This window comes from Homo sapiens, chromosome 9 (assembly GCF_000001405.40).
Source record: "Homo sapiens chromosome 9, GRCh38.p14 Primary Assembly".
NCBI lineage: Eukaryota > Metazoa > Chordata > Mammalia > Primates > Hominidae > Homo > Homo sapiens.
The window spans coordinates 10,936,632-10,962,835 of NC_000009.12; the positions used below are offsets into that span (position 1 = coordinate 10,936,632).

At 36.0% G+C, this 26,204-nt stretch overlaps 1 long non-coding RNA gene across 1 annotated transcript; it reads right to left on the minus strand.

Annotated features, from left to right (window-relative positions):
- Nucleotides 1-11,737: 11,737 nt before the first annotated feature.
- LINC03131 (long intergenic non-protein coding RNA 3131) lies at nt 11,738-21,921 on the minus strand. Its single transcript, XR_007061416.1, has 2 exons — nt 21,779-21,921; nt 11,738-11,850 (listed from the first exon to the last, which is right to left on the minus strand). It is a non-coding gene; the product is annotated as a long intergenic non-protein coding RNA 3131 (long non-coding RNA).
- Between the last annotated feature and the right edge of the window lie 4,283 nt (nt 21,922-26,204).

Sequence of the window (26,204 nt, forward strand, 5' to 3'; positions counted from 1 at the left end):
GCAAGGTAGCTCAAGCTCCAGGAGATCAAAGTGGAACCTGCAGAATTTCTTCTGACTAGACACAAAACACACAACAGCAAAATTAATTTCTGCCTTATTCTGTTTGTTACCAGTGAATTACAGAGCCTGCAAAAATTCAAGTGGATGAGATGACACAAGGACATGAATACTAAGAAATGTGTCCCATTGGGCTGTAGAAAATTATTTTACAGACTGATTATCACTGGTACAATAAGGGATACAACTACAAAAGTGTTTACTACTGTTTATATTAAGAGAAAACAGCAAAAAAGAAAGCAACCAGAGGAACCTGGCTGTTGTCTGAATTATGAGCTATTTACAAAATATTATTTTGCAATATTTCAATATGTTATTACAGATGTATATGTAGATTTAATATTTAAAATGTGGAGGATTGCTCATATACTCATTTCCAAATAAATGCTGGTAGAGTATCAAAACAGGGTTTGTTTATTTTTTTTTACATTTTTCTTCGTTCACTTTGAACATTTCTATGTTGAGCATGTAGTAAAATAAAAAGATGTATTTGAAAGTCTGTTATTCCTCTATCATTCAAAAATAACTGGTTAAAAGCCTCCAATTTACTACTTGTTTCATTTTGAAGAAATATTCCACAATTTAATACTTCTGTAAATTTTGCCTAATGCAATGCCTAGCACATCAATTAATACTTGATAAATGTATGAACAAGGCAGCGATAAAAGAATACATCATATTTTCCTTTTCACTTGGTTTCTGGATATTCAGAAATAAATTTGCCTTTGATTACAGTAGGATTAGTCTAGGTAGTCAAAATATTCCCTCTCTCACAGGTCTTTTTAAAAATTTATTTTAAAATTTACTTTAATTATCTAATTCTATATTGAATTGAAATCTGTTTCAATTATATTTTTTAATTTTATGAATAAGAGGAAGGTAGATAGCTAGTTAATTTATAAAAAATTAAGAAATACCCTAAGCAAGATGTTTGATTTTATTTTGAAGACGATTAATTACTTAGAAAATCCAAGGTATACATAAAACAATTTAGATAATCCCAAACCAAATAGTCATTGTTTATAAAATGCTGTTGATTTCCTAATATAAGTCCCATAAGTAAATTTTTCGTTTGACCTTGAATTCAGTCCCATGCTGCTTAAATTCTTTCAATTCCATTTTAGATTATGTATACATAAGAATAGCCTACATTTTGAGATAGTCATTCATTATGGTGATCACTCTCTCTTGTGCAATACATGATTTGAGGATCCTTCTACAGTACATGCATAAACAATATTTTCATAATCTACAGAGGTATGATTTACAAGGGTTCAATATTATGGGATCTGTGGAGATCTATATTCAGTATACAAAGAGACTCATATATATGTACTCGAATTCAACATAAGTCCTAGAAAGAAATGACCGACAGTCTCCTTGTGTTGCTGAAACTTTGCTGTCAACATCGAAATAGAATTTATTGGTTCGAATGGCAATCACCAAAGGGGATCATAATCAATTACACAGATGAAAAATGAACTGTGTCAATCTTTTAGAAAAAACATATTTCTTTTTGAAGTGAGGCAGGAGAGACAGGGTGTCACTCTGTCAAACCAGGCTGGAGTGCAGGAGTGCAATCTTTGCTCACCGCAGCCTTGACTGCCTGTGCTCGAGCAACCTTCCTGCCTCAGGCCCCCAAGTAGCTGGGACGATAGGCATATGTCACCATGCCCAGCTAATTTTTCTATTTTTTGTAGAGACGGGGTTTTGCCGTGTTGCCCAGGCTGGTCTCGAACTCCTGGGCTCAAGCAATCCTCCTGCCTCAGCCTCCCAGAGTTCTGAGATTACAAGGGTGAGCCACCGTGCCCGGCCAATATTTTATTTTACGATTAGCTTGATGAGTACAAATATACCAACACAAACACACACACACACACACACACACACATACACTCTGTCTCTCTCTCTCTCTGTATCTCTCAAACTAATTTTTATGTTATTTATTTATTTATTGAAATGAAGTCTCACTCTGTTGCCCAGGCTGGAGTGCAGCGGCAGGATCTTGGCTCACTACAACCTTCGCCTCTCAGGTTCAAGCGATTCTCCTGCCTCAGCCTCCCAAGTAGCTGGGATTACAGGAATGCACTACCACACCCCACACCCAGATAATAGTTGTAATTTTTTGGTAGAGACAGGGTTTCACCATGTCGGCCAGGCTGGTCTCGAACTCCTGACCTCAAGTGATTTGCCTGCTGTGGCCTCCCAAAGTGCTGAGATTACAGGCATGAGCCACCATGCCAGGCCCTCAAACTCATTTTAATTGGGTTTCAGTTATAAGTTTAGAGAGAATGACAAAGCAAGTTATGTCGTATTTATATAAATCTCTGAGCACAGCTATAAACTGTATATAATTTCTAGTATAAATGTGTAAATGTCATTATTCCCTGTTCCACATCTATGATGTCATGGGAACTTGGGCAAGTCACAAAAACTTTTGTCTTGGTTTAACTTTTCCATAAAAAAGAAGCTTGGAGTAGACAAACTGTAGAATCCTTGTTGAATCAAAAATTCCAAAATTTCTAGAACTAATTGTTTTAAGTAATCCTGCCATTCCTCATTTTTAATGCAATGTATTGTTACTTGAAAGCTAAGTAATAGCAGTGTCAAGAGGATATATTGCCCACAACCCATCAAATAAAACTTAAATGAGGGTTTCTCTGTAGAATCAATGTAGGAATTAGGAAATAAAGAAGGTAAAACAGATATAGAGACCCATGTTTTCATATTCCCTATACTGTTGATCTTGGAAAAGCCCTAGTAATTAATTAACATTCTCTAACATGTACATGTGTGCTTATATGTGTACATGTGTGTGTGTTTGTGGTGTGTGTGTGTGAGAGAGAGACAAAAAGTAAGGGGAGAGAATCTACTAAATGAAATAATATGTTGTAAAATTTGTTATTGATTTAATGATTATCTTCTTAAAAATTTTACTTTTCAGATGCAATGTTGGAATTAACATTTAGATAACAGTTCACCCAATTGAAAATGAACATAAAATTACATGCATTACACATGACATGCAAGTGTTTCTCTCTGACTTTTGTATAGTAAAATGTTTTCTGTAACTTGCATTTCATCTGTCAGTTCTTACTTATGAATGTATTTTTTTTTGGTATTGATGCCTTTCTTTACTTCTTTTTTTTACCTAGCAATAAGCTGCATGTTCACGTTTGATTGTCATTGACTACCCAACTAGTGTTCAAATGCCTGTTATATAGCCAGCAGAGCATACAATTATTAGAGTTTTTTGTCCCTTAATTGGCCAAAACTGCAACATCTGTCATTTTTGTGGGAATCAAATTTCAGCTTCAAAAGCAGCGTGAACAGTCTGGCACAGCCACATCAGTATGACTTCTGTTTAATCTACTTGCTCATCCTCCCACTCTTCACTATCACCATCTCTTCTTCAAAGCTCCCTTTCTTCACAAAGTTCCTTTTCACCTTATTGGACTCACTACTGAATCCTTTCTGGCTGTTGATTCTGCAGAGTGTGCTGGCTTACCATTTCAAGGTCATTCATAATTGTGTCTAGAATTTTTGTATCCTTAAAGGTAAAATGCTCTGCTAAATATCACATTGGCATCCTGAGAACTAAAATTTAACCAGTAATAAGTGGATCACTTAAAAAGAGGTGACCATAGGAACAGCATAGAACCTTTCTGGTGCCATGGGATTTTTTTGCATTTCAGCCTCTGAAGATTCATTCTTGGCTACTCCTTCTGGAATTGAATCTGCCCAAATGGATGAGGTCTGAGGTGAAATAAAAATGAAGGTAAGATATTACAGAAGCATGAACCTAAAATATCTTCCATGTTTGATAAAATCCCTTGAGAGAATTGTAATGTTAGTGCTACTTTTCTCCCCCTTTCTCTTATCAACTGGAAAGGCACTTTCACTTTCTGTTATTACAGTACCATACCCTCTAGTCACAATGACACAAATAACAAAAACAGCACCATGCCCTTTCTTTTGTCCCTATCCTTTGACAAAGTTCACAAATAAGCATACTTCCTAACTAAAAGAAAGCAGGAAAAATTGCCTAGTTCTTCATTTCTGCTTCCTCTGACATTGCACAGCAGCATGAACAAAATTCACTATACTTTTTTTCTTTTCTTTTTTCTTTTTTTTTTTGAGATGGAGTTTCTCTCTGTCGCCCAGGCTGGAGTGCAGTGGCATGATCTTGGCTCACTGCAAGCTCCGCCTCCCGGGTTCACGCCATTCTCCTGCCTCAGCCTCCCGGGTAGCTGGGACCACAGGCGCCCGCGACCACGTCCGGCTAATTTTTTGTATTTTTTAGTAGACATGGGGTTTCACCGTATTAGCCGGGATGCCCTCGGTCTCCTGACCTCATGATCCGCCTGCCTTGGCCTCCCAAAGTGCTGGGATTACAGGCGTGAGCCACCGCGCCCGGCAAAATTCACTGTACTTTTGAGCAAAATATAGTACAAAAATGTTACTCTTTAGTATTAGAGAATGAATAAAGTTTTCCCAAATAGATAGGGGATACAGCCAGGGAAACACAAAGAAAAGGTAATTTTGGATTAGTGTAAATAGATTCCCTCCCCCCAAATTATTCCCTTAATTTGACTTAAGGGTCAAGACAATTAATCATTCTGAGATGTGTTTTCCCTGTTTATGTACTGGAGATTCTAAATATAAAAATAAGGTAAAATAAGTAGAAGACTTTCTGCAATGTATATATGAAATTTAGTTGTAAAAGTGAAGCTGGGGACATGGAATTCAGTACATAAAATCAATGAATAAAAATAGTAAAAGAACTGGTAGAATAATGGCATACTTTTTCCATATCAGCTCATCATTGAGAATAACTGAAAAATACAAAAAGTATCTCCTTGAAGACATCAGAGGTACACCAAAACATCCGGGGCTTGAAGAGCAAAAATCACAAAGAAAAGAAAAGAATTTTGAAACAGATTTTAATTATTCAATATTTTCCCCCACAAGGCTCTCATCATTTTGAAAGGGATAATTTCCGAGGGATAAAATCCAAGGAGAAAGTGGTGGCAATAGCTGATAAGCAGATATTAACTTTCCACAATGCTGTGGGTCAGGAAAACAAAATTCGAGTTTCTGGGCCACCAACTCAGTGAAAACTAATATGTTAAAGTGAAACAAAGCACTTTGAAATGAGCCCAGGATTTGAAGGCACTTTTTAAAGTCCAGACATTTATTGGTTTCTAAGTGGTACTGAAACAACAAGCTTAACACCAAGAGAGTGATGGCTAATAGGCTAGGAAGCAGAGGAGAGCTTTCAGGAATTTTCTAGTGCCGAGTGGAAAAAAAAAATGTACATGAGAGCCGAGTATGTACTGGAAGTCTTGATAGATAGCACAAACAACACACACACACACACACACACGATCCTGCAGTGCTACAAATAAGAGTAAGAGTGGATTGGAAATAAACTAGTCATAACAAAATATCAAGTATGGAGTATAGCTGGGACCAAACTTAATCCCAAAATGAAATAAATTAATCTGCACAACTGACTACATCTAACAACGTGATATAACAATATTTTTCAAGAGAAAGAGAACTGTATTTATAGTCTCAGTTTCTTTTCATTTAAAATGACCAATAATATATATATTTTTAAGTACTGGGATGACAGAAGATAAAATCAAAGTAATAAAAAGTGAGAAAAGTAAACAAGCAAACACATGGAATCTAACTAAGAAGTGATCTAAAAATTGTACTTATCAGAGAAAAAGAAAAAAAAAAGATGATGATATGGTTTGGATTTGTGTCCCCATCCAAATCTCATGTCAGATGGGAGGAGTGGACTGGTGGGAGGTGATTGGATCATAGGGGTAGATTTCTCCCTTGCTGTTCTCATGATAGTGAGTGAGTTCTCATGAGGACTGATGGTTTAAAAGTGTGTGGCATTTTCTCCTCTCTCTCCTCCCATGGCGCAAGACATGCTTGCTTCCCCTTTGCCTTCCACCATGATTATAAGTTTACTGAGGCCTCCCAGCCGTGCTTCCTTACAGCTTGTGGAACTGTGAGTCAATTAAATCTCTTTTCTTCCTAAATCACCCAGTCTCAGCTATTTATAGCAATGTGAGAACAGACTTATACAGATGACATGAAGGATATTTTCATTTAATGTAGATACACTAGAAGACTTACCCACAGATTAGACATAAAAGAAGAGGGGATCACTGAATCAGGAGAAAATATCCAGAAGAAAAATATTCAAATGTAGAGAATAAAGGTTGTAATGTACTTACAAGAGCCTAATATGTATATAAAAATGGTGAAAGTCTTTCATAAGTGTAACTGGAGACACAGAGGGGAGAAAAAAATACAAAGCAGAAACATTTTTAGAAGATCTAAAGGCCAAAAATTTTCTAGATCTGAAGAAAGTAGAAGAACCCAAATTTAAGGGGCTCTTCAAACTCAAGGTAAGATAAATACAAAGAAAGTCACTGCCAGAACCATCAGAGTAAAAGTAAAACCAGTGACAAAAGAAAACCATAAAGTCATCAAGTGGGGAGCAAAAGACACATTACCTTCAAATGAGCAAAGGTTATTCTGACAGCTGAATTCACAGCAAAAATGATGGGATTCTGGAGGTAATAAAATAACATCATCCAAGTCCTGAAAGAAAATAACGATCAGGCTAGAATTCTAAAACTAATAAAATGTATCCTTCAAAATTAAAATGTAGTAAAAAAAGTAATAGATTATATGTTAATCAGATATGAACCTGAAGAAAGAGATGCTTATTGAGGTCTCCTGGGGAACTAATTGTAATCTAGGATATATACAAAAGAATTAAAAGCTATTAAAATATCAATATATTAGGAAACATAAATGAGAATTTGCTGTATTGAATAGCAGTAACATCTTGTCAAGTTTAAAATATGAGTAGAGTAAAAATATATGAAAACAGTGATACAACATGTGAAAGGAGATAAAAGAAATAGCGTTCTAAGCTTCTTATGTCATCCCAAAATTGGTAAAGGTCATATTTTATGTCGGTGTCAAATAAAAAAGAAATGAAACTTATAGTCTGTTGGGTAACCAATAAGCATGGAACTGTATACACACACACACACACACACACACACACACATATACATACATATATAAACAGACACACACACACCTCTAATAAGAAAACCAAGAATGATTCTTTTTGAAAAATCACTTATGGAGAGAGAAAAAGGACATAGAATAGGCAAGACAAGTAGATTATGGATTTTAACTAAAATAAGTTAGTAAATATATCAAATATAAATTTTCAAATATTCCAGTTTAGGGAAGATTTTTATTAGCATATATAGATAGAGAGATTATTATTATTATTATTATTTGAGACAGAATCTCACTCTGTTACCCAGACTGGAGTGCAGTGGTGCCATCCCGGCTCACTGCACCCTCTGCCTTATGGGATCAAGTGATTCTCCTGCCTCAGCCTCCTGAGTAGCTGGGATTAGAGGCACCTGCCATCACACCTGGCTAATTTTTGTATTTTTAGTAGAGGTGGGGTTTCACCATGTTGGCCGGGCTGATCTCAAACTCCTGACCCCAGGTGATCTGCCCAAATCAGCCTCCCAAAGTGCTGGGATTACAGGTGTGAGCCACCACACTTGGCTTTTATCAACTTACATTAAAACAAAGAATGTTGGTTATGTTTTTAAAACAGACATCTTAAAAAAGTAAGAATGGAGAAAATTAAAAAGTAGAAGTGTGAACAAGTCATACTACACATAAAATATCAAAAAATCTTATTAAAATATCTCAATATCAAGCAAATTAAATGTTAAGACAAATTTATTATAAGACATTATGAGATATATTTCATAGAGATAAAAAAAACATTTCACTGAGTATAAATAGCAATTGTACTATAGCCCTGTAAACATACTGCTAAATATAAAAAGCAACACTTTATAGGATGAGGAGAAATAGAAAAATCAACAACAGCAAATGAGATTTAACACATTTTTCTCAGTAACTTAGAGAAAATATATTAAGAATTCAGTAAGGATATAGAAGATTTTTTTAAAAAGTAAAAGTTTTTATTGAATTGCCATTTATAAAACACTGTGCATAGCAATTTCTTTTCATATTCATGTGAAACATATCTCCAAATAATCCTAGAACATATATAGGTTCTAGAACCTAAATCTAATCTCATCAAATTTCAAAGAATAAAAAGCTTACAGATAATTGTCTGTCTCTACTCCTGAAAGCACATAGAAATGGGTAAGAAAATAACAAGAAATCCGTAATTATTAGGAAAGTTAACAACACATTTATAAATAATCCATGGTCTAAAGAATCAATAACAATTAGAATTAGACAATATATTAATTGAAAGATAATGAAAAAATGTTATATCAATACCTATACAATGCTACAAATCAAGTGTTTAGAGGAAAATTTACATCCATAAACAAATTTGTGAAAATGAATGGCTGAAAACTAATATATTGAGGAGTGTATTGATCTCAAAAACTAAAGGTATTAGAAAATATTAAATAACAAAGAAAATAGCAAAACATACTAAATTGTACTCATGTAACCAAATACCACCTGTTTCCCACAAAACTATGGAAATAAGTATAAAAATAACAATAAACTATAATACAAATGTAAAATAAGTATCAACAAAGCCCAAAGTTGTTTTTTAAAAAAAGAATGAAATTAATAAACCAGTGGCAAATATGATAAGAAAGAGAAAGGCAGAAATTAATATCAGGAAAGAAAAAAAGAAAAAAGTATCACCATTATACATTTTTTAGGTATTAATCAGAAAGTTGTAGGATATTATGAAAAATTATTTTCAAATGAAATGAATTTTAAATGAAATGACAGTCTTTCTAGAAAACACCACAAAATCCATTCAAAAGAACTACAATGAAAATAGTTTTGTATTTATTAACTTAATTATACACTTAATAATAAATATTTACACACACTAAAAAAAATCTAGACACAGAAAACTGTATCATTGAGTTCCACTAATTATTTAAGGAAGGGATAACTAACACCAATTTACACAAACTCTTCTAGAAAATAAATAGGAAAAGGCTTTCCAGCTTATGAAGAAATATTTAAAGCTTACTCCTTGAAATGAGAAAAGAATATAAAGATGTTTAGTATCACCGTAATTAACACTGTACTGAAATACCTACAAAAAATAAAAAGCCACATAAATTGTATATATATGTATCATAACTTATACCTTCATAACCAGAAAAAAGTGGGTCAAAGCACGTTTAATAATATTCCTTGAATCCATCAAAAAACTGGAGTCACATGGCAAACAACTAACCTCAAATTCAGAATGGGACAGATACCTGAATAGAAACAAACTATTTACTTGGAACACAAGCTGCTGAATACCATATAAACTGATAAAAACATAAGCTTTTTTTTTTTAACAAAACTCACTCCAAATATAAAAACATAGGCTAAAAACTAAAGGCTGTAAAAGGAATATACCATACAAACACTAACTCCGAGAACAGATATAGTTATATTAGTATCAGAAAAAATAAATTTCAGAAAAAAAATATGATCAGGGATAAAGAGAGTCATTACATACTGATAAAAGGGATAGTTTTTCAAAAAGATATAGTAATTCTAAACGTAAGTGTATCTAACAATAGAATTTCAAAACACACGTGACAAAAATGGATTTGGAAAGGCAAATTGATAAATTTATGGTTGGCAACTGCAATACCTTTCCTCAGTATTTGACAGAACAAATGAGTATTAGGCCAATAAGAATGTAGATGACCTGAATAAAACTGTCAACCAACTTGAGCTAATTCATATTTTTAGAACACTCTACTCAATAACAGCTGAACACACATTCTTTCCCAGTGCTCAAAGAGCATATACACGACATTCCACTAAAATTTTGATCTGCTCCCAGAAATAAGCCCGATAAACAAACTTTCCCAAGTCAACAATATATTACACAAAATAGTTTTCAGTAAACTAACGTCCTCACAAAACTCTGCCAGATACATGGAAAATTATTTCAAAAATAGAAATGAGCAAAAGAAGTGAGTGATATACAATAATTGAAACGGGAAAGTTTCCCTTGTCCCTCTCGCAGGACGTGCGATGGGAGCTCGCTTCTTCAGTGCCCCACTGCTCAAACCTCTAGGGGAGCATACAGAAGGGCAGGCTGTGGGGCTCCGACCCCATGGCAGTGTCTAGGTGTGAATATTTAGAGCTGAAGCCCCAGTGGGCGCGTGTTACGGGGCGCTCTCTTAGTTTGCCATCTATAGGCGGCTTGTGTTAACCAGCTCAATTACAGCCCTTTCCTTATCACAAGCACAGAGGTACTTCTGTATCCCAGGGCTTTCGCTCTGGTGTACAGGAAGAATCGGATCATATGTGGGATGGGAGAATGAGTGCAAGGTTTTATTGAGTGCAAATAGCTCTCAGCAGAGCGGGGAGCCAGAAGGGAAATGGTTTTCACCTGGAGTCGGGCCGCTGGCGGCTCGGGCTCTCCTCCACTGCCCCGGCCCAACTTCGCGTTGTTCTGCTGGTCGATGGCTCGCTGGTGAGCAGGTGACTGCTGACATGCTCCTCTCCACATCCCCTTGCTTTTTCTTCTGCGGATGTGCTCCTCTGGATGTCTGGCCACCTCTGTGCCTGCCTGCTAGGATCTCGGGTTTTTATAGGCCCAGGATGGGGGTGTGGTGAGCCAGGGTGGTCTTGGGAAATGTAACATTTGAGTGGGAAGGCAGGAGTGTCTGTCTTCACTTAGGTCTGTGGGGGTGGAGCCTTAGCCAGGGACCACACTCTCCTCTACCCAGCACTTCCCTTCCTCCCTTCGGCATTATTTAAAGTGCTTCCCAGCACTTTTGTATTATAATGCCTACTGATAGATAACACTAGTTTTACTCAGACATAATTTTTAAAAATTAAGTCTCTACTGTAATCAGATCAACTAGGAAAGAAGATGTAAATAGAGTTTGATCAGGTTAGAGAGGAGGAAGCTCGAATATTGGAAATCTTGAAAAGAGGTTACGTTAATCAAAAGAGGGTTTTGGCCTCCATGTTTGCAATACGTTGAGAAATGAGTAAAAAGCTCATACTTTGGTGAAGTCAGACACAAAAGTTTGTAATAAGAAAGCAGGGGTTGTGGGGTAGGGGAGGGATAGCATTAGAAGAAATACCTAATGTAGATGACGGGTTGATGGGTGCAGCAAACCACCATGGCACATGTATACCTATGTAACAAACCAGCACGTTTTGCACATGTATCCCAGAACTCAAAGTATAACTGAAAAAAAAAAGAAGAAGAAAGAAAAGAAAAAGTGAGAATGATTAACATAAAAGTCAGATCATGATTACCTCCAGGAGAAAGGAGAGGAGTGTGATTAGCAAGAGAAATAAAGTGGACTTAAAAAAAAGAAAGAAAGAAAGAAATCAGGTGGGAGAAATCAAGAATGAAGTCAGACATAACAGCTGCAAGGTAGATGGCTGGCAAAGTAACGGAGGCAGAAGAGGCTTTATGAAAAAGTGAAAAAGTTCATGTACTTGTATCAGCCATCTAGACCATTTCAGTCAGAAGAATTTCTGCAAATCTTATAAGAACAGATTCTTTCATTTTCATTTCAGTTCCAAAATGAAATCTTGAAATGTACAAACTTCTCAAAAATGATTCACAGAAACGTAATTATCCAGATACAGAGGTTTTATTCAGGGACATTCAGTTTTCTCTTTGCCAATCTCACTTCATCTTCATAAATGTATTTTGATGGTAGAATGATGGCTTTCTTCATAGCAAACCTAAAGAAGAGAGGTATTTTACCAAAAATAATATATATATAAATGAACGTGCTGTTTGTTTTATCAATAGAAATGGTTATACAAGTGAATATCCATTTACAATACTCAGCATAGCAAACACAAGAAAAGTAATTTACTCTTTATTCTATAAAATATTTTTATCTTATAATTATTTGCCTTGATAAGTTATATCATTTACTTTTGGTGTTCAAGGACACATTTACAAACTGGTAAGAAGAGTGGCTTATTTGGTTATAAATATTATAATAGTATTTTTACTTTCAGCAAGTCTTATTGTTAAATATTATAGAATTCTATAGCAAGCAAATGGAAAACAAAAAAAGGCAGGGGTTGCAATCCTAGTCTCTGATAAAACAGACTTTAAACCAACAAAGATCAAAAGAGACAAAGAAGGCTATTACATAATGCTAAAGGGATCAATTCAACAAGAAGAGCTAACTATCCTAAATATATATGCACCCAATACAGGAGCACCCAGATTCATAAAGCAAGTCCTTAGAAACCTACAAAGAGACTTAGACTCCCACACAATAATAATGGGAGACTTTAACACCCCACTGTCAACATTAGACAGATCAACGAGACAGAAAGTTAACAAGGATATCCAGGAATTGAACTCAGCTCCGCACCAAGGGGAACTAATAGACATCTACAGAACTCTCCACCCCAAATCAACAGAATATACATTCTTCTCAGCACCGCACCGCACTTATTCCAAAATTGACCACATAGTTGGAAGTAAAGCACTCCTCAGCAAATTTAAAAGAACAGAAATTATAACAAATTGTCTCTCAGAGCACAGTGCAATCAAACTAGAACACAGGATTAAGAAACTCACTCAAAATGGCTCAACTACATGGAAACTGAACAACCTGCTCCTGAATGACTACTGGATACATAACGAAATGAAGGCAGAAATAAAGATGTTCTTTGAAACCAATGAGAACAAAGACACAACATACAAGAATCTCTGGGACACATTCAAAGCAGTGTGTAGAGGGAAATTTATAGCACTAAATGCCCACAAGAGAAAGCAGGAAAGATCCAAAATTGACACCCTAACATCACAATTAAAAGAACTAGAGAAGCAAGAGCAAACACATTCAAAAGCTAGCAGAAGGCAAGAAATAACTAAGATCAGAGCAGAACTGAAGGAAATAGAGACACAAAAAACCCTTCAAAAAATCAATGAATCCAGGAGCTGGTTTTTTGAAAAGATCAACAAAATTGATAGACCGCTAGTAAGACTAACAAAGAATAAAAGAGAGAAGAATCAAATAGACGCAATAAAAAATGATAAAGGGGATATCACCACCGATCCCTCAGAAATATAAACTACCATCAGAGAATACTATAAACACCTCTATGCAAATAAACTAGAAAATCTAGAAGAAATGGATAAATTTCTGGACACATACACCCTCCCAAGACTAAACCAGGAAGAAGTTGAATCTCTGAATAGACCAATAACAGGCTCTGAAATTGAGACAATAAATAATAGCTTACCAACCAGAAAAGGTCCAGGACCAGATGGATTCACAGCCGAATTCTACCAGAGGTACAAGGAGGAGCTGGTACCATTCCTTCTGAAACTATTCCAATCAATAGAAAAAGAGGGAATCCTCCCTAACTCATTTTATGAGGCCAGCATCATCCTGATACCAAAGCCTGTGGAGACCCAACAACAAAAAAGAGAATTTTAGACCAATATCCCTGACGAACATCGATGCAAAAATCCTCAATAAAATACTGGCAAACCGAATCCAGCAGCACATCAAAAAGCTTATCCACCATGATCAGTGGGCTTCATCCTTGGGTTGCAAGGTTGGTTCAACATACACAAATCAATAAACATAATCCAACATATAAACAGAACCAATGACAAAAACCACATGATTATCTCAATAGATGCAGAAATGGCCTTTGACAAAATTCAACAGCCCTTCATGCTGAAAACTCTCAATAAATTAGGTATTGATGGGACGTATCTCAAAATAATAAGAGTTATCTATGACAAACCCACAGCCAATATCATACTGAATGGGCAAAAACTGGAAGCATTCCCTTTGAAAACTGGCACAAGACAGGGATGCCCTCTCTCACCACTCCTATTCAACATAGTGCTGGAAGTTCTGGCCAGGGCAATCAAGCAGGAGAAGGGAATAAAGGGTATTCAATTAGGAAAAGAGGAAGTCAAATTGTCCCTGTTTGCAGATGACATGATTGTATATCTAGAAAACCCCATAGTCTCAGCCCAAAATCTCCTTAAGCTGATAGGCAACTTCAGCAAAGTCTCAGGATACAAAATCAATGTGCAAAAATCAGAAGCATTCTTATACACCAATAACAGGCAAACAGAGAGCCAAATCATGAGTGAACTCCCATTCACAGATGCTTCAAAGAGAATAAAATACCTAGGAATCCAACTTACAAGGGACGTGAAGGAACTCTTCAAGGAGAACTACAAACCACTGCTCAAGGAAATAAAAGAGGATACAAACAAATGGAAGAACATTCCATGCTCATGGGTAGGAAGAATCAATATCATGAAAATGGCCATACTGCCCAAGGTAATTTACAGATTCAATGCCGTCCCCATCAAGCTACCAATGACTTTCTTCAAAGAACTGGAAAAAGCTACTCTAAAGTTCATATGGAACCAAAGAAGAGCCCGCATTGCCAAGTCAATCCTAAGCCAAAAGAACAAAGCTGGAGGCAACACGCTACCTGACTTCAAACTATACTACCAGCCTACAGTAACCAAAACAGCATAGTACTGGTACCAAAACAGAGATATAGACCAATGGAACAGAACAGAGCCCTCAGAAATAATGCCGCATATCTACAACTATCTGATCTTTGACAAACCTGACAAAAACAAGAAATGGAGAAAGGATTCCCTATTTAATAAATGGTGCTGGGAAAACTGGCTAGCCATATGTAGAAAGCTGAAACTGGATCCCTTCCTTACACCTTATAAAAAATTAATTCAAGATGGATTAAAGACTTACATGTTAGACCTAAAACCCTAAAAACCCTAGAAGAAAACCTAGGCAATACCATTCAGGACATAGGCATGGGCAAGGACTTCATGCCTAAAACACCAAAAGCAATGGCAACAAAAGCCAAAATTGACAAATGGGATCTAATTAAACTAAAGAGCTTCTGCACAGCAAAAGAAACTACCAACAGAGTGAACAGACAACCTACAGAATGGGAGAAAAATTTTGCAATCTACTCATCTGACAAAGGACTAATATCCAGAATCTACAATGAACTCCAACAAATTTACAAGAGAAAAACAAACAACCCCATCAACAAGTGGGCAAAGGATATGAACAGACACTTCTCAAAAGAAGACATTTATGCAGCCAAAAGACATATGAAAAAGTGCTCATCATCACTGGCCATCAGAGAAATGCAAATCAAAACCACAATGAGATACCATCTCACACCAGTTAGAATGGCAATCATTAAAAAGTCAGGAAACAACAGGTGCTAGAGAGGATGTGGAGAAATAGGAAGACTTTTACACTGTTGGTGGGACTGTAAACTAGTTCAACCATTGTGGAAGTCAGTGTGGCGATTCCTCAGAGATCTAGAACTAGAAATACCATTTGACCCAGCCATCCCATTACTGGGTATATACCCAAAGGATTATAAATCATGCTGCTATAAAGACACATGCACATGTATGTGTATTGCAGCACTATTCACAAAAGCAAAGACTTGAAACCAACCCAAATGTCCAACAATGATAGACTGGATTAAGAAAATGTGGCACATATACACCATGGAATACTATGCAGCCATAAAAAATGATGAGCTCATGTCCTTTGTAGGGACATGGATGAAGCTGGAAACCATCATTCTCAGCAAACTATCACAAGGACAAAAAACCAAACACCGCATGTTCTCACTCATAGAAGGGAATTGAACAATGAGAACACATGGATGCAGGAAGGGGAACATCACACACTGCGGCCTGTTATGGGGTGGGGGGAAGGGGGCGGGGCGGGATAGCATTTGGAGATATACCTAATGTTAAATGACGAGTTACTGGGTGCAGCACATCAACATGGCACATGTGTACATATGTAACTAAACTGCACGTTGTGCACATGTACCCTCAAACTTAAAGTATAAAAAAAAAAAAGAATTCTATAGCATTGTGAAGGGGATAAATTTCAGGCATTAGAAGGACTGTCAAAATATTTCTTCTCTGCTAATTTATATCCATCTAGAAAACTGTTGAGCAATGAGCCCTGATTCTGTTTCTAGACAGTTATTTCTTGCTTTCTCTCTTGCTTCACAGTAAGAACTCTGGCTCCAGCAACATCATACATTTAGATATTTGCTCAATCCTATTATACTTCATAAAAAGTTTCAGAATTATTTTATACATACATCTATAATAACAAATCAGCTGGACTTCCATTTGTACTTAAGATGTAAAAAGCTTTAAATAATGTTGCTTTTACAGTAACAATGAGAAAAAGTCAGATTATAACTTTCTTTGAACCCATCGGAAAACTGAAGGCATGAGGCAACCAAGGAACATGAATTCCAAGCAGACAAAAGTATAAGGAGAGTCAGGGCACACAGATTGTATCTCCTGTGGTAGCACATTGGAGGAAGAGGCACAGGCCACCATTTAAGTGAATATAAATAAATCAGGTAAATTTTAATGAATGGCCAAAGGCCAAATAGAGGATAGCATGTCATTTTTGAACAGTTTGGGGCCACAGACCTAAGTGAAAATGATACTCTTTTAGCTTTTTCCTACATACCTTCACTGGGTGCTTACAAAAACCAAACAAACAAGCAAGCAAACAAACAACAAAAAAAGAAAAGAACAGAAGAGAGAGAGAGAAAGAGAGAGATTGGAAGAAGGAGAGAAGACTGAAAAAAAGCTCTATCAGTAATGACGAAATTTAGTACATGATCAGTGATTGTGGGGTCACAGGCGCATAATAACGCTCATTTCTCTGGACCCTTCTCTTATAGGAAGCAGAAGACTTAAGCTACAAATACAGAGACAGCATAGATGCTCTCAAGGTATAGGAAAAGGCATTTGTGGCTAGAGGAAGGGTAGAAAAAAACTAATAAACCCCTCTATTACTGAAGGGAGGTAGAAAACCATCTTGGGCCCAAGATACTCTGTTGCTACCAAGCACAGGACTCATTCCACTGAGGGAAGGAAAGGAAGCTCCTAAGACCAGCTACGAACATAAGCAAAGTTTGACTGCCATAGAAAAGGGCAAAAATACTGAGAAAGTTCACACAATTTTGTCTCAGATTCAAAGAGCCTGTTTAAGAGTGAGGCTGGACCAGAACAAAGAACATTCCTGACCCAACATGAGCCTAACAGAGAAGTCTAAGGATAAGAAAAGGCAGAAGCACAGGGTGAGAGATGGAGGATGGGGAGAAAATGCTAAAAGTTGTTGATGAAGAACTAACACTGAGAAAAAACCTCTAAGACTAAAGTCCCCACCTTAAGCATAAAACAGCAGGCCACCACTGGAGGAATTTGAAGACTGGGTCACTGACATTAACCATAGCCGAAGTAAAAACAAAACTTAAACCTCATTCCTTGCCTTGACTATCCCAACTCATACTTTAATGTCCTGAGAGAATAGGCATGTTCATTTCAAGATGTAAATACTATTTGCCTCAGCATTTACAGTTTTACACATAACATCCAGTATTTAATTTTTAAAATGATAACATATACTATTTTAATGTATGTAACAACATAAGGGGAAAAAATCCCCAACACATTGTCCAGAAACAACACAATCAAAAAGATCTGACTCAGAGATTACCCATAACCCACTCTCCAATAATGATATTAAAATATCTGTATTAATATTTTAAAGGATCTAATGAAAAACATAAGTAACATGCATACATAGATGGGAAATTTTAACAGAGAAATACAAACTATAAGAATCAAATGAAAGGCCAAGGTGAAAAAAGCTCTGATATTATAAAAGAGGAAAGCTTCATGGGCTTGGTAGTAGATCTGAAACAGTCCTCTGGCCTATATACTAAGGTCTCAGAGTTTGCTTGCCTTTTTTTTTTTTGGTCCATATTGGCTCAAAGCGAGATTGTTCCATGAGCCCGGGTTGAAGCTGCAGAAGTTCCTATTACGTAGTCTGCACTACATTCTAATAATCTAACAAGTCACTAAATGCATCCCAGATTCCAGAAGAGGGGAATTGGACTCCCATTTGCTACCCAAATAAGAGAAGAAGCAAAGAATTTTTAGATATCTTTAATCTCTCATCATGGATGTATTTCCCATTCCTTCTTCCACATGCAAACAGTCATCTGTTAAAACTGATTAGTGATATATCTATTAATATAAAATATTCAGATGCAAGTAACTTCAGAAGGTAAATTTGTGTAGATTTTACAAGGCTAAACAGAAAACAAAGAAAGTAGAAGGAAATCATATTTTATTGTCCTAAATCTTTAATTTATACTCTAATGGAACATCATATACCAGGCTAGGAATCTGTTGTACCTATAACCTACCTAAAGTTTTTAACTTATTTTTCTGATATTTATCTCTAAGTCACTTATATCATAATTCCTCAATTATATCTAGAATAATAATTATATATTTTAAAACATATGTTTTTCTCTTTTATATCCAAGTGTTTTCAAATTTAATCTTATATTCTATTGCCATTATGCTAAAAAAAACGTAAGATATTAAAGGTAAACTTAGGCAACAAGTTCTTTCTTTTTTTATGGTAAAAGCCTGATCTAACTAATTTTATTACCCACTGGATTTAATGAATTATCTGAATAAGTTGATACAGTAGGGTGGCCTTGTTGCAAGAAACATTAAGAGAAATGCATGTTTTAAACAGTTGAAGCAGTTATATTAGAATCCTCAAAAATAGGCCGATCTATAGTATTTCATGCTTTTATATTTAAACTTTCTTCTTTTATTGCCAATAAAGGCAGAAATGTTGAGAAGACAGAGGGTGAGTCCATAAGCCAAATGTTGACAAGAATTATATTTTTACTCTGAGTCTATTTTTTTACTTAAATGGTTTCTCCCAAAAGTTAAGAAAAAGCATTATGACTCATATTTATGACTGATTCTGAATCTACAGAAATGAAACAAATTTGCCATTTGTACCGATTTAAAAATGAAACAAAAATTTTGAATAACTTTTCAAGAATGATATGTAGAACTTTTTTTGCTACTTTAAAAATGTATTCTAATTTGACTAAAAATTTTTAAAGAACCTAGAGAATTAATTTGATCACTTTAAATGTTTTAATCAAAAATTCTGCATACTATTTCATTGCCATCTAAAGCAATTAGTCATATCATCTGTTTATTAAATTTCAGAATGCATGTGTTTTAATTTTGGCATTTTTCATATCAGATACACTTAAAACTTTATATATGACTTGAATTATAATTATAAGAAATAGTTAAGACCGACAAGGTTAATTTTATGCCTTTATTTATAATATTGCTTTTAGTCTTTGAGGAAAGAAATTGTCTTTGTTCTTTTAGTGAGCTTAATAAGTTGACATTTTAGGAAAATTTTGTTCATATCGCGTTGGTCTGATATACTGAACTTCTGATTAGCAACTCAATGATCAGCTATGCTTAGAAACTTTAATACCTTTTCTAGTGATAGGATATGATAACAGCCTGTAACCCATGTAGTTTTCCTATTTCAAAATATGTTTAGGCACTTTGATCAATACATTATCTTCTGAAGTGTGTAGAGGGTGCTTCCAGGTCATTGTATGGAAACATACTCTGCCCCGTCCACATCTATACTTTTGGGGGGAGCGTTATTTGCACTTTTCAACCTTAATTTACTTTACTTCAGAGTTTTACAAGTCTTGAACATACCCTGAAGGGTATTTTTGCTAGGGAAATTCTATTATCTTCAAAAAAGAAAGAATGATAAGAAGGTTTAAGGGAAAATTAACAAATGAATAGGTATATCCTTTGACTTCAGTTTAAATTACAAAATGCAGTCTTTGCTAATTTCCCTTTAAATTTAAATCAAAGTATTTATTTCACATAGAAAATTAGAATTTTTAATTACCAACACATTACATTTAAGAGAAATAAAATGTAATTATTTTTTACCCTGCTGCACAAAGATTTGTTAAATGAAAGACCTGTTAATTTAAAAGCTATTACAAGTTATGATTAATAGTCACAATACTTATTGGGAATAAATTGCTTGAACCTTTAATTAAAAGTTAAATAGTCGTTAAAACTATGTTATTTGGAAAGGAAAGGGTCTTAAGTTCAAATTTTTCTAATTTATTTTTAAATCTAGTTAAAAGTTAAACTGTAACATCTTTCAGTGTACCAGTTTTGAACTAATAGTTGGAGAGATACTGATATGGTATACTTTTCTCTACTTTGATACTAAAACACAGCACAACAAAAATTATCTTTATGTAAATGGTAACATCATTGACATCCATGAATTCTGCTTTTTTTTTTTTTTTTTAACAGCAATTGCCAAAGCGTATCCCCATTCGGATTCAATAAATTTCCTGATTCTTGATGGATTTTTTTGGCGCACTATCTTTGGACAGGATAAAAGTGAGGAAAAAACAATTATACATAAGTAAATTAACCCATGATAAATACCAGCAATTAAGACACCATAGCATACTAAAAATGAATACTGCATCAATTGAAACTTGAAAGCAAACACACTGGAATAAGTCTCTATATTTTATAATTTTTTAATGTCTTTGATCACCCTAAAGAAGAAAAAGAAAAATAAATAGTTTCCCCTTGAGCTATGGAGTCTGATTAAAAATGTAAAGAATAGGAGTGAGAAGAATGGGACTCATCTTTCACTGAGCATATAATAAAATATATTTACTAAGATGAATGACTATGACAAGCTGTGTTCTCTTTCAGAACATTTAAAAGTCTGCAAAATGTAGTCTGCTTCTTTGACTACAGAAATTTATGAAAAATTTCTTGTCGAGGTAGGAATTCAGTATTCAAATTGTGCATGAACCTTGAGATTATCAACATTTTCCATCTTAAAATATATAAAAATGATTTCCCAGAGAAAGCACAACTCTATCTGCAGCTTCCTAAATGTCCATTTTTAAAATAAAAAAATTACTTGATTATTCTTTTATTGTATTATTATATTATTATATAATCTTATATTATTATATTATATAGCTGTGGGGTTTCTCTCTTCCTGACCTCAAACACACTCTAACTTTGATAAATTATATTGATTTGAATTGTCTCCACATCTCACAAGATTAAGACCCAGAAAGTCTGATGAAGTGAGTTACAATGAACGCATTTTTCTAAAGCTAGGGTGAGTAAATTTATCTATTTTTTTCTTTTTTTTAATAGACTTCACAACATAGTATATGGCAACTGCAAGTTCTTTCTGTTTCTTAAAGTAAAGCTCAAACCCTTTTTAATGGAAAAAAAATTTATGGTTATTTAGCATTTTGAAACTTCAGTTTACATTTCAGAGTACAAAGATCAGAGGTGATTGTCAAGATTAAATGAGATAATGTATTGCACAATGTTTAGGTCCAAATCTTGGCTCAGGTCAGTAATCAGCTTATTGACTTGAGTGGGTTACTTAACCTCTCTGCCAGCCAACTTTCTTGTCAAAAACATGAGAATAAAAGCACTCTTTACTTATGAGACAATACATGAGATAATGTCTGTAGAGCACTCAACACCACCTCCTGTTCATATTAAATGCTTATTAAATATGAGTTGTTGCTGCTTTCACTGAGACTATATAAAGTATCTTGTTCTGGCTTTGGCAAAACATATACAAAACAATACAAAATGACCTAAAATCAAAATGCTAGGAACTACAAGGTTAGACCTCATTTCTTCTGAGGTATCTTTTACCTCCTTGCCATCAGCAGCTTCACCATCATTTATATCAGCATCCTCCAGGAATGAGTAGGCCTCCATTTTGAAAGTCGATAAACATACAGAAGAAATTAGGGATTGAATACTTCTATGCATTCTTCAATTTTATGTTATCCTTGCTGAATATTATAGAAAATTAAATCATCAATAATATTGAAAACATCCCCCAAACTCTTAAGTTACTTACCATGATCTGATTTAAATGATTGGTAGTCATACAGAAAGGCTTCATTTAAAATCTCTGATTTACCACAGACATTATTGAAAGGCTAATATTCCCATTATATTGAGTAGACAAGAAAGCCCACTCTCTTTCAATCAGGATTTCTCAGTTTTAATTTCAGGAATATATTTTTTCAGAAGAAATCAATCTGTGACCAAAAACAAAAGTATTAAGATCTTTGTTTCCTGACTAATCCTCCATTAAGACACAGAGAAGTTGTTGAAATGCGTATTTGATAAATAAACAGAGATTGAAACTTAACTTTCATTATGGTTAAGACAGTAAAATTAATTGTACATTGTCTTACCAAATATTTGCATATCAGTAATAAATTAGCAACATTAGAGTCAAATTTGAAACAACAAGATAGCATAAAACTTGAAGATTATTTAAAGAATGAAAGAATAAATTATTTAGTATATATGAATAATATGTAATGAAGCGTGATAATGCTTTCTTTTTTCCAAAAGCTTTCACAAATAATTCTAGGGAGAAAAATCAGCATATCAAAGATTTCAGAGTGCAGCCTATATGTAGAAGACCAGTTAGGTTCATGATTAGGTAATGGGCATATGTGGTGAATGGTAGGAGTCCTCAAGGAATGTGAGATGGATTTGAAGTTATTATGAGTGGAAACACACAAATACAGTGATATGGTTTGGCTGTGTCCCCACTCATATCTCACCTTGAATTGTAATAATCCCCATGTGTCAAGGGCGGGGACAGGTGGAGATAATTGAATCATAGAGGTGGTTTCTCCCATACTGTTCTCATGGTAGTGAATATGTCTCATGAGACCTGAGGGTTTTATAAATGGGAGTTCCCTTACACACACTCTCTTGCCTGCTGCCATGTAAGACAAGACTTTGCTCCTCATTTTCCTTCTTTCATTATTGTGAGGCCTTCCCAGCTATATGGAACTGTGAGTCAATTAAACCTTTTTCCTTTATAAATTACCCAGTCTTGGATATGTCTTTATTAGCAGGATGAGAACAGATTAATGGGCTTTGGTAGAAACTGAATGTTTGACTATGAGTCATCAAGTAACCATGTGACCCTGAACTGCCTATCATGAACTGGGTGTTTTCTGACCCATCTAGCCATGAAGTGGGGCATACACAGCAGCATTCCATCATCAAATGGAAGTGGTATATACCTGATCAGGATTGAGCAGTTCCTGAGAGCACAAGTAAGTTACATGAAGAAGTGGTTCAAATGCCCATGGTCCCCACTCCTGCTGTCCTGCCTTCTCTCCCCCAGACTGCACTGATGGCCTTATGGGGAGCTTTCTATGATAAGTTGACAGAGGAAGAGAAGACTAGGCCCTGGTTTATAGACAGCGTTGCACAATATGCAGGCACCACCCAAAAGTGGACAGCTGCCACTCTATAGTCCCTTTCTAGGACATCCCTGAAGGACAGTGGCAAAGGGAAATCTTTCCAGTCAGCAGAGTTTTGATCAGTGCATCTGATAGTGCACTTTGCTTAGAAGGAGAAATGGGCAGATGTTGTGATTATATACTGATTCATGGGCTGTTGTCAATGGTTTGGCTGGATGGTCAAGGACTTGGAAGAAGCATGACTGGAAAATTGGTGACAAAGAAATTTGAGGAAGAGGTATGTGGATGGAACTCTCTGAGTGGTCGAAAACTGTGAAGATATTTGTATCCCATGTGAGTGCCCACCAAAAGGTGTCCTCCGCAGAGGAGGATTTTAATAATCAAGTGGGTAGGATGGCTTGTTCTGTGAACACTACTCAGCCTCATTCCCCAGGCACCCCTGTCATTGCCCAATGGGCACATGAACAAAGTTGCCATGGTGGCAGGGATGGGCTCAGCAACATGGACTTTCACTCACCAAGGCTGCCCTGGCTATGGTGCCCAATTTGCCAGCAGCAGAGACCAACATTGAGCCCTTAATATAGCACCATTCCTCAGGGTGATCAGCCAGCAACATGGTGTCAGGTTGATTATATTGGAATTCTTCCATTATGGATAGGACAGCAGTTTGTCCTAACTGGAATAGACAGTCTGGATATGGGTTGCCTATCCTGCACACAATGTTTCTGCCAAGACTACCATCCCTGGACTCACGGAATGCCTTATCTACCATCATGGTATTCCACATAGCATTGCCTCTGACCAAGGCACTCACTTTATGGCTGAAAAAGTGCGGCAGGGCCAGGCGCGGTGGCTCACGCCTGGAATCCCAGCACTTTGGGAGGCCAAGGCGGGCGGATCACAAGGTCAGTAGATGGAGACCATCCTGGCTAACACAGTGAAACCCCGTCTCTACTAAAAATACAAAAAATTAGCTGGGTGGGGTGGCGGGCACCTGTAGTCCCAGCTACTTGGGAGGCTGAGGTGGGAGAATGGTGTGAAACCGGGAGGCAGAGCTTATAGAGAGCAGAGATAGTGCCACTGCAGTCCAGCCTGGGCGACAGAGCGAGATTCCATCTCAAAAAAAAAAAAAAAAAAAGTGCGGCAGTGGGATCATTATCATGAAATTCACTGGTTTTACCATGTTCCCCATCGTCCTGAAGTAGCTGGATTGATAGAATGATGAAATGGCCTTTCAAAGTCACAATTATAAGGCAAACTAGTTGAAAATACTTTGCAGGGCTAGGGCAAAGTTCAGCAGAAGGCTGTGTATGCTCTAAATGAGGATCCAATATATGGTACTGTTTCTCTCAAAGCCAGGATTCATGAGTCCAGGAATCAAGGGGTAGAAGTGGAAACGGAACTACTCACCATCACCTCTAGTGACCCACTAGCAAAATTTTTGCTTCCTGTTCCCATGACATTACATTCTGCTGGCCTAGAGGTCTTAGTTCCAGAAGGAGGAATGCTGCCACCAGGAGACACAACAATGATTCCATTAAACAAAGTAGATAGCAACCTGGCCACTTCGGGCTCCTCCTACCTTTAAGTCAACAGGGTAACAAGGAAGTTACAGTGTTGGCTGGGGGGATTGACCCAGACAATCAAGATGAAATCGGTTTACTACTCCACAATGGAGGTAAGGAAGAGTATGCATGGAATACAGGAGATCCCTTATGGCATCTCTTGGTATTATCATGCCCTGTGATTAAGGTCAATGGGAAACCACAGCAACCCAATTCAGGCAGGACTACAGATGGTCCAGACCCTTCAGGAATGAAGATTTGGGTTACTCCATCAGGTAAAAAACCATGACCTGCTGAGGTGCTTGCTGAAGGCAAAGGGAATACAGAATGGGTAGTAGAAGAAGCTAGTCATGAGTGCTAACTACTACCATGTGACTGGTTGTAGAAACGAGAACGGTAATTGTCCTGAATATTTCCTCCTTAATTTTTTTAAGAACATGTTTGTGCATGTATACACTTGTACTAAAAAAAAAAAAAAAATTATTTTATTTTCTTTCTTTTTCCTCTATCACGTGACATAAGGTTTATTGACTTTATGCTGGCATTTAAGTGTTGTTAACTTTATGTAATAGCATTTGGTTTGAGGATTGGTGTGCTTCTGCTTGTACGAAGGATAGCTGTATTATGTTAGGTGTAATTATGACCTTATTATTGTCTTTATTTGAAGATTATGTATGATTTCAGGAGATGTGTATGGGTTCAAATTGACAAGGAGTGGACTTGTGATGATTTTTGGCTTTCAGGTCTTGTGATTTAAGAAATAAATTTTGTAGGGCTATAGCAGTCATAGATAGTGATTTATCTGATGGATCTGGGCAAAGTTCATTGAAAACTTTCTGGAAAGGATTATTCGTTCTAGATGTCATTTAAGAACATTGGCAATTCATGGGAGGAGGTCTAAATATTAACATTAGTAGGAGTTTGGAGCAAGTTGATTTCACCTCTCATAGATGACTGTCAGGGGTTCCAGACTTCAATGGAGAAAGCCACTGCAGATGTTTTGGAATAGCAAGAGAACTAGAATTAGAATTGGAATAGCAAAAGAACTAGAATTAGAAGATGTGACTGACTTACATCAATCTTATGATAAAGACTTGAATGGAAGAGAAGTTGCTTTTTATGAATGATCAAAAACAATAGTTTCTGGAGACAAAACCTACTCCTGATGAAGATGCTGTGAACATTGTTGAAATGACGGCAAAGGATTTAGAGCATTGCATAAACTTAGTAGGTAAAACAGTAGCAAGGTTTGAGACGATTTATGCCAATTTTGAA